This window comes from Homo sapiens, chromosome 12, assembly GCF_000001405.40.
Source record: "Homo sapiens chromosome 12, GRCh38.p14 Primary Assembly".
Classification (NCBI taxonomy): domain Eukaryota; kingdom Metazoa; phylum Chordata; class Mammalia; order Primates; family Hominidae; genus Homo; species Homo sapiens.
This window is the reverse complement of record NC_000012.12, coordinates 106,836,935-106,856,532: the sequence shown is the minus strand read 5'-3', so window position 1 is coordinate 106,856,532 and position 19,598 is coordinate 106,836,935. Positions and strand designations below refer to the sequence as shown.

General features: G+C 37.4%; 1 protein-coding gene across 25 annotated transcripts in view; it reads right to left on the bottom strand.

The window, feature by feature from the left end:
- Positions 1 to 19,598, bottom strand: part of RIC8B (RIC8 guanine nucleotide exchange factor B) — a 114,635-nt gene that overhangs the window by 32,784 nt on the left and 62,253 nt on the right. For 21 of the 25 annotated variants that reach the window (NR_147135.2, NR_147133.2, NR_147137.2 and 18 more), the window contains 3 exons: positions 13,716 to 13,944; positions 12,586 to 12,681; positions 4,939 to 5,083 (listed from right to left, as the gene is read on the bottom strand). Coding sequence is in view for 10 of the 25 variants with exons in the window: in NM_001351361.2 (NP_001338290.1) it covers positions 4,939 to 5,083; positions 12,586 to 12,681; positions 13,716 to 13,944 (470 nt within the window). In the remaining 15 variants the exon portion in view is untranslated. The remainder of the gene's footprint in view (positions 1 to 4,938; positions 5,084 to 12,585; positions 12,682 to 13,715; positions 13,945 to 19,598) is intronic. The other 4 variants (NR_147134.2, NR_147136.2, NR_147132.2 and 1 more) reach the window with 1 other exon arrangement.

Here is a 19,598-nt window from a genome sequence, read left to right as displayed (position 1 = left end):
ATGGTAACAAAGATGAGGAAGAGCATTCCTCACAAAAGGAACAGCATCTGCCAAGCCATGGAGATATGCCAAGAAATGGTGCAGTATAATCAGGCAAGAATAAAGAATTTAGTATGATTAAGCATGCAGTGTAACAGGGGAACAGATTTAAAATACACTACACAGAGACTCTGTGGAGGTAAAATTTGGTTTTTACCATGCAGGCAACAGAGAATCACTGAAAGTTTTATATGAGGGGAATGACAAGATTATATTTGTGTTTTACACCAATCCCTCTGTTAACCACGTGGAAGAGAAACTGAAGAAAATCTGACTAGAAACAGAGAGATGAGATATTTTAATAGCTTATTAATAGTTAAAATAATTTTAAGGGTCTGCACTAAGATGGTGGTGTGGGAACAGAATGGGGGAAATAAATAAAAGATATTTAACAGGAGGTAAAATCTACAGATGTGGTGATTATGACTTCTACAGGTAAAGAAGGAATCTAGGGTAACTCCTAAGTTTCTGGCTTTAGGAACTAAACAGACAGTGGTACTGTTTGCAGAGAAAGTGATAGAAGGATAATGAAAAGGTCGAAGGGCATGGGAATGAAGATCATAAATTCAACTTTAGCTATGAGTTTGAGATACCAGTGAGAAACTCAGGCAGAGAGGTCCAGTAAGCAAGTAGATAAATATGACCGGGTTCAGAAGAAAGGTTGGGGCTAAAGATACATAGATTTGGGAATCTACGCAAACAGAAGCCAAGGGAGAGGATAAGATTACTCAGGGAGCAATGTGAAGTGAGGATTGGGACCAAAAGATTACTTTAGGGAACACCAGCAATTAAATGTGGACAAGGACAGGAGCTAGCAAATCAGACTGCAAAGAAAGAAGAGAGGTCAAAGGACATCTAGGAGTGTGTGGTAGTACACAAACAAAGGAAGTGGACAACAGCATTAACTGTTATGAGAGACGTAATAAGACAAAGACTAAAAAATACCCATTGCTTTTGAAAATCAGGTAATTTGTGACCTTATTGAGAGCATTTTCAGTGGTATTTGGTGGGTAGTGAATGGTTATGGAAAGCCTGACTTGCAGCAAGTTGAGGACTAGTTTTTCAAGATGTTAAGCAGTGAAGGACAGTGATATAAGTATGCATAGAGATTGGGGAAAGCACATAGGGCGAGTTCAAAGAACAAAAGAATAAAGGGTAATGAGTGATGGAGCAACACTTCTGCAAACACAGGAAGAGAAATGATCAACAGGAAAGGGAGACTAGTGAACCTCAAGCTAAAGAGACAACCTATTCCTCTGAGACTGAAGTGGGTATTACAGTAAATTTATTGGTGTGGGGCTATGTGCTAAGGGAGTTCAAGCCTAATTTTTCTTTGCAATTCAGCCCCTACATCATAATGCCTACCACATACTGAGATTTAATGAATACGATAAAAGGTGGGGGGGGAACCCCTACCAAGGCAGATTATTTTACAAATCATCTTCTTTTAATTAAACAATGTAAGGCCTATTTTTAGGCCCCTAGTAGAAGGTACACAATTTGCAGGGAGATAAAAATAGTCATGTTCAGGCTCAATTGAACAAGTTAATGGCATGAGTACAAGTTAACCTGTGGGCCATTATGTGCTGGAGATACCGTTGGGCCTGGCACAGATGGGTATTTAAGACCTTTGGATGGTTCTTTCTGTGCCTAGTCTTCCATAAAATTTTGTCCTTTCTCTCTTACCTCTTTCTTTTTTCTTTTTTGAGACGGAGTCTTGCTCTGTCACCAGGCTGGAGTGCAGTGGCGTGATCTCAGCTCACTGCAACCTCCACCTCCCGGGTTCAAGTGATTCTCCCCTCAGCCTCCTGAGCAGCTGGGATTACAGGCATGCACCACCACGTCCAGCTAATTTTTATATTTTTAGTAGAGACGGGGTTTCACCATGTTGGCCAGGATGGTCTCGATCTCCTGACCTCATGATCTGCCCGCCTCGGCCTCCCAAAGTGCTGGGATTACAGGCATGAGCCACCGCGCCTGGCCCCTCTTTCTTAATGCAGTCTCTGTGTTCCTAACCCATTATAACTGCTGCTTACTGTCTGTCTCTACTTAGTGGTCTGACCTTTGAGCCTTGATCAAGGTGCCTTCACTTTCAAATTTACTTGGCATATCCTTAAGAGACAGTTCAGACATTCTGAAAAATTATTTGAAATTTATTTTATTTTATTTTATTTTATTTTAATAGTCTACCTCCAAACCCAAATTCCAAAATCTGATTACTGTTAAGTTGAAGGTAAACTGCAGACATTTTCTTTTTTTCTGGCCAGAAGGTTTTAAATTTGAACTAGCTGACAACATTTAAAAACAGAGAGCTTCTCTTGAAAACATGGAACATCTGCTAACCCTGGCCACATGTTCCTTGATGGTAACCATCAGTCGCTGCTAAATAGTAGCAACATACTCTTTATAATCTCCCATAGTCCCTTCGTCTCCCTACACCAGCCAATTGTCTCCCCAACAGTGAGCCAAGTGTCAGCTTTCATTTGTTCATCTTACATCTAGTCCACTTGACTTACTTTTATTACCAGCCTGGCTGCTGTAGGCATTTGAGTCTGTGACCCTTAAATAAAAAAGTAAGTAATACATGGGCAGAAACACTGTTTATCTTATATATCTCTGTAATTCCAGGGTCTAGTTCAAAAACATTTGTTGAACAAATGTCTGTTTATTCCGGAAGAATACATTTACTAAACTTATAATCAAATTGGAAGGAAAAAAATGATTATAGGTCAGGTGCGGTGGCTCATGCCTGTAATACCAGCACTTTGGGAGGCCGAGGTGGGCAGATCACAAGGACAGGAGTTCGAGACCATCCTGGCCAATATGGTGAAACCCCATCTCTACTAAAAATACAAAAATTAGCCAGGCATGTTGGCATGTGCCTGTAGTCCCAGCTACTCAGACGGCTGAGGCAGGAGAATCGCTTCAACCTGGGAGGCGGAGGTTGCAGTGAGCCGAGATTGCACCACTGCACTCCAGCCTGGGCGACGGAGTGAGACTCTGTCTCAAAAAAAAAAAAAAAAAAAAAAAAAAAAAAAAAGACTATAAAGCAGAATTGTTGAGGTCAAATTAAAAATATATTATCTGCTAATGGAGGTTAGCTTTGGGCTCAAAGACAGGACTATGAAACTAAATACTGGGTCCAAGAGGGAGCAAAACCAACCATTTTAAATTTAAAAAGTTAACAAAATTCACTTATAAATGCAATTTACCATATTTGCTATGATACTCATCGGTAATGTGATTACATTTAGAAATTATTTAGATATGTAATTATTTATTTAGATTTATATATTTAGATATACACTTAGGTGTGTAATTACAGGAGAAATAAACTTTATTTTCCCCATTTTAAAACTTTTTAAAGGTATACAAAAAAATACATGTTCATTATAGAAAAATTATACAGACAACTAAAAAAATCACCAGTTCTCTTATTACTCAGAGGTAACAATAAATAATATTTTGGTATATATTTTGACAAACTTTTTAAAATGAATAGATACACATATGTGTGATTTTGGATTTATGCATAAGCATGTATAATTACACTTTAAAAAACAGATCATTTCCGATCTCGAATCAATTCAATTCAGCCAATATTTACAGATAACTATGTGCAAGGCACTATGCTAACCACTTAATTCCAAGATGCTAAATCAATCTTTTTTCAAAGTCATTAAAGAAGAAGTAAATTGTCTAAAAGAACAGATGCTAAACAGTCTATGATAATAGTTAATATAATTATTATGAGAGGAAATATGGCAGAAAGAAAAGACAGGACCCAAATTTGGGCTCATGCCCTCAGCAACTGTGTGACATGTTATTGAAAGGCTCTCAGGTGGCAGGTTGCTTCATTTATGAAATCAAAATATAATATTTACCTTAGAGAGTCATTATGAGAATTAAATGAGATTATACATAGAATGTCAGGCACATGATACCTCTCAATTCATAATCACCATTATAATAATGATCAAATTAGGTTACTAACATACCATCTTAATGTGAACTTAAGTGGTTGGATCAATACATCAGAAATGAAGTTTAAGAATAACAATTGACTTAAGATTTTAGGAGGAGTGAACTTTTCCATCTCCAAATTATCTATCTTATAAAACTGGGGTACTTTAAAAAAGTAGAACATAGATCTGCTTAGATGGGATTTTATACTAGCAGACTTACAAAGTAGAAGAAGAAAAAATAAGTAGGAATAACTGAATAATCAAAGTTACTTGTTTGGAAAACTTGCCTTTTGCAGAGTAATCCATATAATTTTAGAAAATATCTTTAATTGTTGGATCTATCTCAGTAGACAATCACTTTATATACACTTATAGAGTAGTATTTATTACACTGTAGTACAGTTATTTTAAAATTTCTCTCTACCACTATCTTAACTTTGTCTCAAGGGTATTATGCATTTTAAAAATTTCTATTCAGTATATTATATAGCTCACATTCAGTAAGTACTGATTGGAAAACGTAGTAAAGAAACCAAAACTCCTATAGCTTTAATTCCAAGAGGAATTAAAAAGAGGAATTAACCCAGACCTGTGCCTCTTATTAAAATAGTAGCCGCTGAATTACTGAACCAATTTTTCATAATGGCTCTATGTCCTGCCCCATTAAGATGAAGGCTGGGTTAAGGATACAGAAGGCAAAGTTTAAATGTGAGTGTGTTTGGTAATGTATCTGTCTTTGCATGTCTCAATGAATTCAGAAGCGTATACAAATGTTTTTGGCTATTAATTTTTATTAACTCCTCAGCCTCTCTAATAGAACAGACAGTAAGCTTTGGAAAGAATGGAATGAGACGACCAGTACTAACACTATCAATTAAATTTCTCAAAGTCCCTCTGAAAGATAAAAGGCAGAGGCAAAGAGAGTTTAACCTACCTCTCTCTTTGCAAAGGACAAAAAGGAATTCAGCAGCAATTTGCTTGACTCCAAGGTCAACATGTGTCATGAGGCGCACCAGCTTATTTCTCACAGTTGAGCCAACTTCAGGTCGATTTGTCACATCCCTCAACGGTGGTAAAACCTGATGGCACAAATGCAAAAACCATCATCAATCGAGGCTACTAGAGTGAGTGAGGATGGTACAATGCAACTGGCCAGTCTTGTAATGTCTACTGGGGTTTGTATTGTAGGAGCAAAAAAAAAAAAAAAAAAAAAGGTTAGCTTCCAAGTAAAACTAAACAACAAAAACCAGACCTCAAGTGATTTCATGCCTCTGATGAGGTTTCATTTGAACAGAAACATCTCTTCACTGTATCATCACACTATCCTCAAGAGAATTTCCGAGTTTTTGTTTATCTCAACACCTGGAATGCCTCAACTTGCCTCTATGAAAATCCATTTTGAAGTTTAGGTCAAGTTTCTCTTTCTTCCATGAAGACTTCCCTAATACCCCGAGTCATACTGATTTTTACCTTCTCTTGAGTCCTCCAACATTTTCAGTATAGGTTGAGTATACCTTATCCAAAATGCTTGGGACCAGAAGTGCTTCGGACTTCTATTTTGGGGGGATTTTGAAATATCTCGTGTTATACATACATCTGGATTAAGCATCCTTAATCCTAGAATCTGAAATCAGAAATGCTCCAAAATGACCATTTCCTTTGAGCATCATGTTGGTGCTCAAAAAGTTGCAGATTTGGGAGCATTCTGGACTTCTACATAGGGACACTCAACCTTTATTTAATTAAAAAAACTGTACTTATGTTTTCTAGCTATTTAATTTTATAATAAAAATGGCTATTAATTTTTTAGTACTTTCTATGCATTAGTTGCTGTAATAGATGATATATATACATTATTTATAATCCTCACAGTAATCCCGCAAAGGAGATAGTAACATCACTCTCATCCCTGTTTTGTATTAGGTTGGTGCAAAAGTAATTGTGGTTTTTGCTTTTAAAAGTAATGGCAAATAGACTGATCCCCAGAGGGCTTATGAAACTTTCTTAGTTTGTCTGTTAGTTTGCTCACTCACTCACCCATTCATCCACCCACATACCTTTCTCCTGGTCCTCCTCCTATCTCATTGGTTGCTTTGTCTCAGCCTCTTTTGCCAATTGTCTTTTCTATTCCTGTTTTGTTAATGTTGGAATATTCAAGGGTTGAGTTTGTAGGCAACTTCATTATTTTTACTCAATTTGTGATCTAATCCAGTTTTATGGCTTTTTATAGTCTCTGCATCCTGATGACTCCCTAAATCAGCAGTCCCCAACCTTTTGGCACCAGGGACTTGGCCAGTTTCATGGAAGATAATTTTGCCACAGACTGGGGCTTGGTGGGTGGTTTCAAGATGAAACTGTTCCACCTCAGATCATCAGGCATTAGATTCTCATAAGGAGCACACAACCTAGATCCCTTGCATGTGCAGTTCGCAATAGTGTTTGTGCTCCTATGAGAATCTAATGCACCAGCTGATACGACAGTAGGCGGCGCTCAGGCAGTAATGCTCGCCTGCTGCTCCCCTCCTGCTGTGCAGCCCAGTTCCTAAAGGCCATGGATCAGGCCCTGGGGTTGGGGACCCCTGCCCTAAATTATATCTCCATTGTTGATTTCTTCCCTGACCTCCAAACTTCTTTCTTTAATCACAGAAATTATAGGATTTTACAAAGAGCTATAGAAACTAATAGATTTAAATAAGGGCAGAAAATATATTAAAATGGACTCACTTTCATTTTTTTAAGATAATTATATCTATGATAGATCTATATAGAGGATATTCAATCTAACACAATATTAAATACACTGCCACCACCTTACTTACACTTACAGACTGATTACAGAGCATATTAAAGTGTCCTGAAGTCATCCTGTTAACTAGGGCTTTTCAGGCTAGTGATTTTAGACTGGAATGTGCATTCCAAACACCTGGGGATCTTGTTAAAATGCAGATTCTGATTCAGTTAAGTCTTGGTGGGACCCATAACTGATTCCTTGTTTCTTTTTTCTAACCTTCTTAAATTTGTATGTGTACCATACAGTATTTTTTTTTGTAGTTTTTTTTTTTAATTTTTAATTTTTGGCCGGGCATGGTAGCTCACACCTGTAATCCCAGCGCTTTGGAAGACCAAGGCAGGAGGATCGCTTGAAACCAGGAGCTCGAGACCAGCCTGGGCAACATAGCGAGACCCTGTCTCTACAAAAAATAGATAAATAAATAAATAAATAAATAAATAAATAAATAAACTATTTAAAAAGAAAAAAATTTTTTTAATTGTTGTGGGTACATAGTAGGTTATATATTTATGGGGTATATGAGATATTTTGATACAGGTATACCATACATAATAATCACATCAGGGTAAATGGGGTATCCACCATTTATGCTTTCTGTTACAAACAATCCAATTACACTCTTTTAGCTGTTTTTAAACTGTACAACAAATTATTGTTGACATCACCCTGTTGTGCTATCAAATACTACATCTTATTCATTCTATTGAAGTACATTTTTGTACCCATTAGCCATCCCCACTCCTCATTCTCCCGCCACTCCCCCATTATCCTTCCCAGCCTCTGGTAACCATCATTCTATAGGTACAATGTTGTACAGCAGATCTCTTGAACTTAATAATTTTACATTATTGAAATTTTATATCTATTGAATAATAACTCCCCATCTTCTCCACAGCCCCTGGTAACCACTATTCTACTCCGTGTTTCTGACCTCCAGGCTTTTATAGACCTCTTAAATTTAGCGGGTCCTAAGCAGGACTCTTGAAGTTCCCACCAAACCTGTTCCTCATCAGTTTTCCATCTCATTAAATGGTAGGTCCATTCTCCCAATTGCTTGGTACAAAAACCTTGGAAATATCCTTGACTCCTCTCTTTAATATCTATCCATCAGCATATTATGTCAGCTCCACCTCTGAAATATACCCACAATCCAACCACTTCTCCCCACCTCCTCCAGTATTACCAAGTCCAAGGTACCAATATTTCTCTGGACTAATACCAAAGCCTTGTAAGTGGTCTCTGCTTCCATGCTGGTCACTCTCTAATTCATTTTCTACATAGTGGCTAGGATGATCCTTTGAAAGTCAGATCATGTCACTCCTCAAAGTTCTCCAGTTCCCATGGCTTCTCATCTCACAGTAAAAGGCAAGGTCCTTACAACTTCCGTACAGGATTCCACATAATCTGGCTTCCTGCTACTTCTCTGACTTCATTTCTACTATTCTCCCTGCCTATGCTGTTACAGACACACAGACCTCCATGGACCTTCTTAAACATGCCAAGTACTTTCCTGCCTCAGGTCTTTTGAATTTGCTTCTCCTTCTGCCCAGAAACTCTTTTTCTAGAAACTTGCATGGCTCTCTCCTTACTTTCTTCAGATGTTTGCCAAAATGTCACTTACAGGAGACATTCCCTGACCACTCCATATCACTAACCTTTAGCCCTCTCTTTTTGCAACACCTCCACCTCCTTACTCTGCCAGAACCTCTCTCATAGCACTTGTCACCACCGGACGTAGTATATAATTATCTGTTTACTTGTCTGCCTCCTTCCACAAGACCAAGTTCCACTGGGGCAGAGATTTCTTTGTTTTGTTTACTGCTTTCTTCCCAGTGTCTAGCATATTACAGGTGTTTAATGAATATTTGCTGGTTGAAGGAAAAATGAATTAATTCAAGAAGCTTTTATTAAGTGCCTTCTATTATATAAGCTAGGCACTGTGCTAAGAAATGAGGGCAGACACGAAGTCAAATAAGAACTTACTGTGCACCTATTATATCCCAGATCCTTTATGTATATATAATTTTACTTGATCCACTCAAATGACTTTCTTCTCTCTCTCTCTTTCTATGTCAAGTATCCACCATGTATCAGGAGATATCAGAGGCAGGGGAGACACAGCTATAAACAAAAATGGAAACTAAATCTCACAAAATTGAGTAACCTATCTAAAGTGTTTATGGAATCCATATTTCAGTCTCTGGCTGGGTAGAACAAAATGCTAGGCACAAAGTAATTGCACAACAAATCCTTACTACTGTGAACCATTATTGAACCATACTTAGTACGTCTCCCATTTCTAGAAGAATGAAACATGTAACAAATGATTTCATGTAGTATATGTCTATAGTACCTCGAGTACAGAATCTATGAACAAAGGTTATCATGTAAAAATTTTGTTAGCTACATTTTTGGTTCCTTAAAACAAATTTTTAACAAAATTTTGTTGTTATTGTTATATACCACTCCCAAACTGCCTATGTATTTCCCCCTAGAATACTACCTCCAACAAATTTTTTCTTTGACAAATCTTGTCCAGTTTCTTTTTCAAATCCCCCAAATACTCATTGCTTCTATAAGCCTCTCCAGAATAATACAACCTGGGTCAGTAATTTCTACCACTTGCTTTCTTTTCTACCTCCCAAACACAGAATATAGACCAATTTCCTTTGGATAGGCATGAGTTGGATTTAACCAGGTATTTACTACAGGGCATAATAATAAATCAAGGTTCCACTTACATTATTATCAGAGTTAATCATCTGTACTTTAAGTTCTGCCTTTCTTGATCATAACAGTCTACAGTGCATCCTCTTCAGAAGGAAAGTTGATTTCTGTATTATGCCTTGTATCTTTAGTTATCTTTTTACCTGTCATGTTTCATCTCCATACCTCTACTGTAATGTTTCTTGAAGACAGACAGTGGGTCACATAATCTTTTATAATGACACAATATGTGGCCCAAGGCCTTCATATTAAGAAGTATTTAACTAATAGGTTTTTTTTTTTTTTTTGGCTGTTCTGTTTAGAGATAGCAAAATCTAAACAGTTTAGGTGTACCTGGATCCCTTGTGGAAAAAAGCGAAAATGCAGAAAAAAAGTATTTTCATTTACTGTGCTTCACCAACTCCTCCTAGTCAAGGGAGAATGTCTTAAAATAATCAAATGTGGAAATGACCTTAATTAATTAATTAATCTTGCCTAAATCATTATTCATGCTTTCTGGGTATTTCTCTTCTTTCAACAGACTGTAAATTCCTCAAAGATGGTCTCTATTTTCTAATCTCTCCTTATCAGCACTACCTATTAGTGTTTCTAGATACAGTAAGGTGCTTACTAAATCTTGACCATAAATACAGAGGGAAAAAATGAATCTGGTTCATTTATTAGGGGAGATTCTATGTAGTGATAAATGAACAATTGGGTGAATGGTGGTACCACGTATTGAAATGTGGAAAGAAGGGGAAGAAATAGGTTGGAGGGATGAAAATCAAGATATTAGTTTGAGGTATGTTAAACTTGAGATACCTACTATACATCCAAGAGGAGGAGATGAGTCGGCAGTTCACTGTATAAGTCTAGAGCTTAGGTGACAGGTCAGGGCTGGAGATATAAATTTGAGAGTCATCAGCATATATGGATGATTTTCAAAACCATGACTCTTGAATGAGATCACCATGGCAGCAGAGATAGAGACAAGATAGTATTGCCTCGGGGCACTCAAACATTTAGGGTTAGGAAAACGAGGAAGATCAACAAAGAGGTTCTCTATTGTGTCCTAGAAACCAAGTGAAGAAAGTATTTCAAGGAGGAGGGAATACTTACATCAAATTCTATTGGAGAATTTAAAAAAAGAGACTTGAGAACTATTAGCTTTGGCAAAGTTGAGTTGGTGACTCTGATAAACACCTTTGCAGTGGGGCGGAAGGCATGTAGCCTACAGAGGGTTTAGGAGTCAAAAACGAGTAAAAAGAATAGAGAGAGTGAGTACAGAGAACTCTTCTGAGGACACTGCATAAAGAGGAGCATAGAAATAGAAAGGCAGCTTGAGAAGTGGGATAAGGGAAGGTGTTTTTGTTTTTAAGATGAAAGATGTGTTTGGGTGCTGATAAATGATCCAATACATTTTTTAAAATGATTAATATAAGAAGAGAGAGAGGGGAAATAAATGCAGGTGCAAAGTTAATGAGAGAGAAAGAGATCCAGGACAAATGCTGGCCACAGAAGTAGCAATGATTCATCCATTGTGACAGATGGGAATACAAGGGATATGGCAGTATAGATGCAGACAGATAGCAGATGCAATGGTGGAAAGATAAAGTTTTTTCTTAATTTCATGATGAAACAGGAAACAAAGTCAAGAAATGAGAGTGAGGAGAGGGCAGTAAGCATTGGAGGTGTGAAGAAAAGCTGTGAAATAGTCATCTTGGAGTTTGCTAAGGAACCGGTTGGGGCTGGTGGTCTTAAATTTAAAGTAGACTCGTCAAAATGGTTGTGTCATTTTCTCTTATCATGTTCAAGTGCTTGGTGGAGACCCAGAGTAGGAAGAAAGCTGGAGTTAGCCAGTTTGTTAGGTTTTGCCAGGTGAGTACGACTGAGGGAGCGCACAAGGTGCTAGTTAGAGATGTATGGAAAGGAGTGATTATAGTAATGAACCTCAGGTGGAATCTAGCCTGGGTAAGGAGAGAAGGCACAAGTGAGTGAAGAACAGTGGGAAAAAATGACAGACTGACAATCCTCCGAGGAAGAAAGAATGTTGGATTGAGGGTACTAAATAAGAGAAGGTGCTTGAAATTGGGATTTTAGAGGAGGCTAGTTTCAGGTATTGTTACAATCAAAGTCTTACACTTGTAGTCTAAGATATAATCTGAAAGTTTAAAAATCACCCTTATTTTTTCTTTTTCAACCCATACTCCAATCTATCAGCAAGTTCTGTGAGCTACTTTTAAGACATATTAAAATATTTAAAACATATCCCCAAGTATGAACTCTAACCACTACCATCCTACTCCAAACATGCAACATCAGTTATCTTTTGGACTTGTCTCCTTGCATCCATTTGTGCTCCACTATGTCAATCTTACAAATAGTAGCCAGGATATCTTTAAGCATAAATAAGGTCACATCACTTCCCCTCTTAAAACACTCCAATATCTTCTCATCTCACTTAGAAGAGAATGGAAAGTCCTACACCGCCTGCTGTATCTGGCTCTTGTTACCTCTCTTTATCTACCACTCTCCCCCTTGCATATTGTGGCCTAGTCACACAGGCCTTCTTGCTTTTCCTTAAGTGTACCAAAGCATCCTCTTGTCTCAGGGATTGTGAACTTGTTCTCTCAGGGACATTCCTTTCCAATCATTCTCAGAGATACTCTTACTTTTCCACCTTTCTGTTCAAATGTCATCTCAGAGAGGTCCTCCCTTGTTCCCTTAAAGTGTCTCCTCTCTCTTAAAATGCTTTACCTTTCTTCAGAATGCTTATCACCACCTGCCATTATATTTTAAATTTGTTTACTTTTTGTCCCCCTCTCTACAAAATAAACTTCCCAAGGGGAAAGACTTCATCTGTTGTTCAATGCCCAAAACACAGCACACACAGCAGATCTCGGTAGCATTTGCTGAATGAATGACTCAAAAAATACACACTTCTTGATTAAGAAGATTTCAAAGATTAAGACTGAGTTTCTGATTATCTGAAACAAAATCATTGTGAGAAAATTCAATTAATTCTATGTTTAAAATGCACATAAAAAGACTAACTTTGCAATGTAATATGCATTAAGCAGTTACCTGATCTTTGAGAAATTTTCGGATGTTTCGATGGGCTCGGGAACATTCGGTTAATAAGCTGAGAACTGGAGTTAGACCCTCTCTATAGCTGCTTCCCTATAAAAAAAAAAACCATATGTTTTTGAAATACGTTAGTTTTGTTTCTAACAGTATTACTTTCCTTCATGTAACTGAGGATATCAATTTGTTTTTGAGGTGGGGACTTTTTTTTTTTTTTTTTTTTTGGGAGAGGGAGTCTCCCTCTGTTGCCCAGGCTGGAGTGCAGCGGCGCAATCTCGGCTCACTGCAAGCTCCACCTCCCGGGTTCACGCCATTCTCCTGCCTCAGCCTCCTGAGTAGCTGGGACTACAGGTGCCCACCACCACACCTGGCTAATTTTTTGTACTTTTAGTAGAGATGGGGTTTCACCATGTTAGCCAGGATGGTCTCGATCTCCTGACCTCGTGATCCACGAGGTGGGGACATCTTATGTTACCTAAGCTTACAAACTATTTTAAAAATTCTTTTCCTAAAAACATTTCCATTTTATCATCTTCATGTTTACTATTGCCTTTTTTGGTCCTTCCTGGATGTTCCTACATTTTCTAGGATTCCCATGGGCTTAGCCAAAGGGCTTGAATGAAGCAAAATTTTGGTGACTGGACTATGCTACCTTGCTGCCTTTTAATACAGATACCTGACAAAGTGAGTGATAGACCAGAGAATGTATAAACAGCTCACAACAAATGGGAAATTGACAAGGTCTTCTTTTTTCTTTTTTTTGGGAAGATGTCTTTTAGGTATTATGAAGAGTATTTAGCAAGTTTTTGGGGGGATATTTTTTATTTCTAGGACTCACAAAGTAACAAAATGGAACAGTAATTACTTTTTCCTTTGTTTTCAAGCACTAGTCATAATTTTGGTGTTGCATGAACATAATTTTCAGCATTAAACAAATAAATTAACATGGCTTCAGCAATTTATCATATATTGTAATAAACTGCTTTCCAAAGTAAAAACAATTATGCAGCACATCAGTCAGAAAAAAAGCTTAGATTTAAAAATCATGCTCTGTGATGTGTGTCTGTATGTATGGCACATTTACATTCTTTGGAAGCATCTTCCCAGGGCTTCCATTTTATCAGCCTTACCTTGTCTATTCTCTTCTCCATAAAATTCAGTAAAACATGAATGGCCTCCATATTCATACCATTGTATACCATGGTATTGTTTTTCAAAACTGTTTCTTTCTCAGCTGTTTTATTACTGGGCAGTTCATCTAGAGTCGTTGCCTCTTGGGCTGTTTCTTCATGGGTTAACGGACAAATGAGAACATCCAAACAAGAGACTGGAACATTGCTTAAAAGGTTGACTGCATTGCTGAAAAGCAATTAAAAAAATACAATATTTTAACTTGATTGAATAGTCCTTTAAAATGCAAACATAATAAGAAGTTCAAAAGTGACTTTTAAGAGTCAATTAAAATATTTCTTTTCCAAAAATGAGCCATTATGGACACTTGACACTTACTATGAGATAGGAAATAAAAAACTGTTTCAAATATATGTTGTACAAATTAGAAAAAAAACAAATGTTGAATAGACAGACACAATCACATGATGTCATGTCACTTTCTGAAATGCTAAAATAGGAATTAGTGAGCTTTAATGCCAGCTCCTTAATTTTATTATGGCAACAATGCTAGCTTTGCATTTCTTCCCTGGGATTTTAAATCCTTTTGTGGATCCACTGGTGTTTTATTATTCCTTAGATTACAACATAAAGCATTTGAGAAACACTGAAAATAAGCAGCTTATCAGTAGCAACAACAATAAACCAAATATGGTAGAATTAAGTTTTATTCTTTCTAAATGTAGAAAATACAATTTAAAAATCATCCCAATTTTTGTAAGACATATGCAGAAAAAGGGAAATGGAGTTTTTTCTCTCTTTCTTATCATCAGGTCTCTAAATGAAGTTAATATAGCTATTTCTAATCTCTAGCCCCTAGGCCTTTCAGCTGTGTATTAATGAATACACGAGACTGGGATGCACACCAGTAGGGGGAACCCAAACCTTATATTTTTGGCATTCCCTAAAAACCTTGTTCTGTTGTTCAGTGTACAAAAGATTAAAATGACACTAACAATTTCAAAATTAGATATGTTCTCAACAAACATATTTTCTTCCATGAGTTATTTCATATTCTTTCATCTAAAAGGAGTGGTGGTGTTCTGGGCTAACTGGCTCTTATATGCCTGTGCCTTAGAACTTCCTGATCAACAATGGAAAGACAGGCATTTTATTTCCTAGTGACAGAGAAGCAGATCTAAAAATAACCACATCCTGACTAAAAATAAACTCCTGCAAATGCAATTTAAAAGTCCAACCACTTGGAAACCAAATTTAGAGCTTAATCTATCTGATACTATCTTAATTTAGACCAGTAGCTCCTTCTACTTTAGATTATAGTGACACCCTAAAAAATAAAGCAAAACAAACAGAAAAACAAAGAAATAGAAATACAAAAATTTTTCTTTCCTCTACCCTGAATTGTGCTCCACTTCCCCAAGAATGAATATTTCCTTTCTTTTTATATTATGGAAAAATAAAAACCAGTAACAAGTCAGTTGAAAAGTTAGACAATGCAGAACAGAAAGTGGTAATGTATAGGGCATCAAAAAAATGAATCAAGAGCAAAAAATAATTTAACAAGTCATATGAATAAATGGTTCCTAGTAAAATACAAGTTATTTGATTGCCCTCACTAAAACCAAATACTGCTGCTGCTACTGGTGTTATGCACAAAATCTCTATATTTGGTTATTGGTAAATAATCAAAGGTGGCTGAAATATAAGCTTTCCCCAAAACTTTCTCTTAAAACTTTTTTTTGCAAATATCTGTAGTTTATCTTATCTATAGTTCAGAACGTTTTGCTTCTATCTTAAGCACTTAGAAATTGTTACTAAATAATACCATAGATTCATTGAGAATAAAAGGGGGGAAATAACTCTACCTTAGAATTATTTTCAAAAACTGTATACAAGCCATTCTGAAATGTTATGATTTTTTCCCTAAACATCAGGCAATAGGCTCTTAAATACACTGACCGTATGATGCTCTGAACCTACCAGAGACCAGATTGAAAAGTTTCAGATGGGTCATTTCATTACAAAGGAATGTTTCCCCTTTAAATTCGTTTAAAGTAAGCAGTTTCCAGGAATTCAGTAAATTTAAGAAACCAAATGTAGAGTTTGATTCAACAAATATTTGGAGGTTTTAGGCTTTTCAAGAAAAGTTCCCATTTTCTTATTTCTTATTTAACAACTTGGTTTCCAAACAACTACAAAATTAATTTTTCTGGCTCACTGTGTTTGAGCTATTCTTTTTAAGTAAGGAAGGCCAGCTTTTTGAGCTCTGTCACTTCTCTGACAGTTTTATTTGTGGTAGAAGAGTGTATGAAATTCTCCAGCTACCAGGAAGTCAGTGACTATGCACAGATCTGCACAATAGTGTTTGCATTCCTACTCCAGGGGGTAGAAATACTGTGTATATTACACTCCCCTTTTCAGCTTCCTAGAGATCATTAATCACTGAGACATGACATCCTCCCGCTCATGCTCCCAGCCCCCTCCTGATATGCAGATTCAAAAGCAAGACCTATTTAGAACTCCTTAATGCCCTGATTAAAGCCTTGTCAGTTGTGGGAGAGGAAAGGCAATCTAAAATCTAGTCCTCTGTGAATCGCTGGACAAAAACATGAAATTACACTGAAGAACATGATATGGCACACGTAGATCCATAGCTGTTAATAAATCTTGCTGGTCAAATGTATCTTCTTTATATTTGGGGCTTACATATCTTTTTTCAAGGCTGTAAAGTCTATGTAAACGAATCTTAAAATCTCCAAAAGATTTTCCTTTTGCCCTCTTTATTCATTAAAAAAAATTGTTTTTGAGATAGAGTCTCTTGCCCAGGCCAGAGTGCAGTGGCATGATCATGGCTCACTGCAGCCTTGACTTCCCGGGCTCAAATGATCCTCCCACCTCAGCCTCCTGAGTAGCTGGGACCACACGCACACGCCACCATGCCCCTTGCTAATTTTTTAATTTTTAGTAGAGACAAGGTCTCACTATGCTCCCCAAGCTGGTCTCAAACTCCTGGGCTCAAGCAATCTTCCTGCCATGGCTTCCCAAAGTGCTGGAATTACAGGCGTGAGCCACTGCACCCAAACCCCTCAAAATCTTTGAAAAGTATTTTTTTCTTTTGTGGTAAGAGCACTTAACGTAAGACCTATTCCCTTAGCAACATTCTAAGTATACAATACAGTATTGCTAACTATAGGCTCTGCTACACAGGAGATCTCCAGACCTTATCTTGCATAACTAAAACTTTGTATCTTTTGACTGACACCTCCCCATTTACTCCTCTCCCCAGCCCCAGATAACCACTATTCTACTATCTAGTTCTACAAGCTTCACTATTTTAAACTCCTCATAAAAGTGGGATCATGGAGTATTTGTCCTGTGCCTGGTTTATTTCACTTATCATAATGCCCTCCAGATCCACCCATGTTGTTCCAAGTGATGGGATTTCCTTCTTTTTTTAAAGGCTGAATAATACTCTACTGATTCTGCTCTGTGTGTGTATACATATATACGCACATTTTATCCATTCATCTGACTGATAGACATTTAGGTTGTTTCAGTATCTTGGCTATTGTGAACAGTGCTGTAAGGACCATGTGATGAAAATGCAGATATCTCTGTGAAACAGTGATTTTATTTCCTTTGGATATACTCCCAGAAGCGTGATTGCTGAATCAAATAATTCTATTTTTCATCTTTTGAGAAAACTCCACACTGTTTTCCATAATGGCTATACTAATTTACATTCCCACCAACAGTGTAAAAAGATTTCCTTTTCTTCACATCCTTACCATCGATTATCTTTTGTTTTTTGAGGTTTTTTTTTTTTTTTTGGAATAACCCTTCTAACAAGGTATGAGGTGATACTGAGGTTTTGATTTGCATTAGTGATGTTAAGTACCTTTTCATGTACCTGTTGTCTGTTTGCATGTCTTCGTTGGTTAAATGTCTATTCAGGTTCTTTGCCCATTTTAAAATCAGGTTTTTTTTTTGGCTATTAAGAGTTTTTTAATAGGTTTTAGATATTAACCTCTTGAGGTATATGGATTGAAAATACTTTCTCCCATTTCTTAAGCTGCCTTTTCATTTTGTTGACTGTTTCCTTTGCTGTGCAGAAGTTTTCTAGTTTCATGTAATTCTACTTGTCTATATTTGCTTTTGTTGCCTGTGCTTTTGGTGTCATACCCAAGAAATCATTGCCAAGACCAATGTCCGTAAGCTTTTTCTCTCACGTCTCCTGCTCCTGCTCCTCCTGCTCCTCCTCCCTCTTTTTTTTTTTTTTTTGACAGGGTATTGTTCTGTTGCTTAGGTTAGAATGCAGTAGTGTGATCACAGCTCATTACAGCCTCAACCTCTCAAGTTCAAGTGATCCTCCCACCTGAGCCTCCGGAGTAGCTGAGACTACAGGTGTGTCACCATGCCTGGCTAATTTAAGTGTTCTTCTAAGAGTTTTATTGTTTTAGGTTTTACATTTAAGTCTTTAATCTATTTTGAGTTGATTTTTGTGTATGATGTGAGATAAGGATTCAATTTCATTCTTTTAGTGAAATCCAGTCTTCCCAAAACCATTTATTGAAGAGACTATTTTTTTCCCCATTGTGTATTCTTGGCACCCTTGTTGAAGATAACTATATATGCATGAGTTTATTTCTGGACTCTTTCTTTTGTTCTTTTGGTCAATATGTCTGTTTTATGCCAATACAAAAACTGTTTTGATGACAAAGTTTATGGCCTTGATTATGGTAATACCTCTCAGGTATTTACTTAGAATTCCAAACTCATCAAGTTGTATACATTAACTATGTACAGCTTTTTGTGTATCAACCAAACCACAATAAAACCATCTGAAATGATTCAGGCAACGAAAAGAACGATCCCCGACCAGGTGTGGTGCTCACGCCTGTAATCTCAGCACTTCAGGAGGCTGAGGTGGGTGGATCACCTGAGGTCAGGAGTTCGAGATCAGCCTGGCCAACGTGCTAAAACCCCATCTCCACTAAAAATACAAAAATTAGCCAGGCATGCTGGCGCGTGCCTGTAATCCCAGCTACTTGGGAGGATGAAGCAGGAGAACTGGTTGCACCCAGGAGGCAGAGGATGCAGTGAGCCAAGACTGCACTACTGCACTCCAGCCTGGGCAACACAGTGAGACTCTCTGTCAAAAAAAAAAAAAAAAAAAACAAAAGATTTTCAGATGTAAATAAATAATTTTATTTAATCTAACTCAATCCAGTAATTATTTATTATTTACTTATGCCAGGCACTATTTCAGGCAGGTATCACAAAGAAAATAAAGAAAAAATTCCTGTCCTCACAGAACTTATTCTCTGGCATGGACAGAAAAGTAAATAAAATTTTTTTAAAGTTAATTAAATAATATGCTAGAAGGTGATAAGTGCTCTGGGGGAATAACCCATGAGGGTAAACTAGTATGTATGGGTTATACTTTTTTTTTTTTGAGAAACAGTCTTGCTCTGTCGCCCAGGCTGGAGTACAATGGCGCCATCTTGGCTCGCTGCAACCTCCGCCTCCTGGGTTCAAGCGATTCTCCTGCCTCAGCCTCCTGAGTAGCTGGAATTACAGATGTGTGCCACCATGCCTGGCTAATTTTTGTATTTTTAGTAGAGACAGGGTTTCACCATGTTGGTCAGGCTGGTCTCGAACTCCTGACCTCGTGATCCGCCTGCCTCAGCCTCCCAAAGTGCTGGGATTACAGGTGTGCGCCACTGCGCCCGGCCGGGTTATACGTTTAAATAGGATGGTTAGGGAAGGCTTCACTGAGATGAGTTATTTAAATGACTTGAAGGGATTAGAGAGAGAGTAATGTGACTGAGGAAGGAGCATCAGAGGAAGAAGAGTAAAAGCAAAGGCTCTGGGGCAGGAGC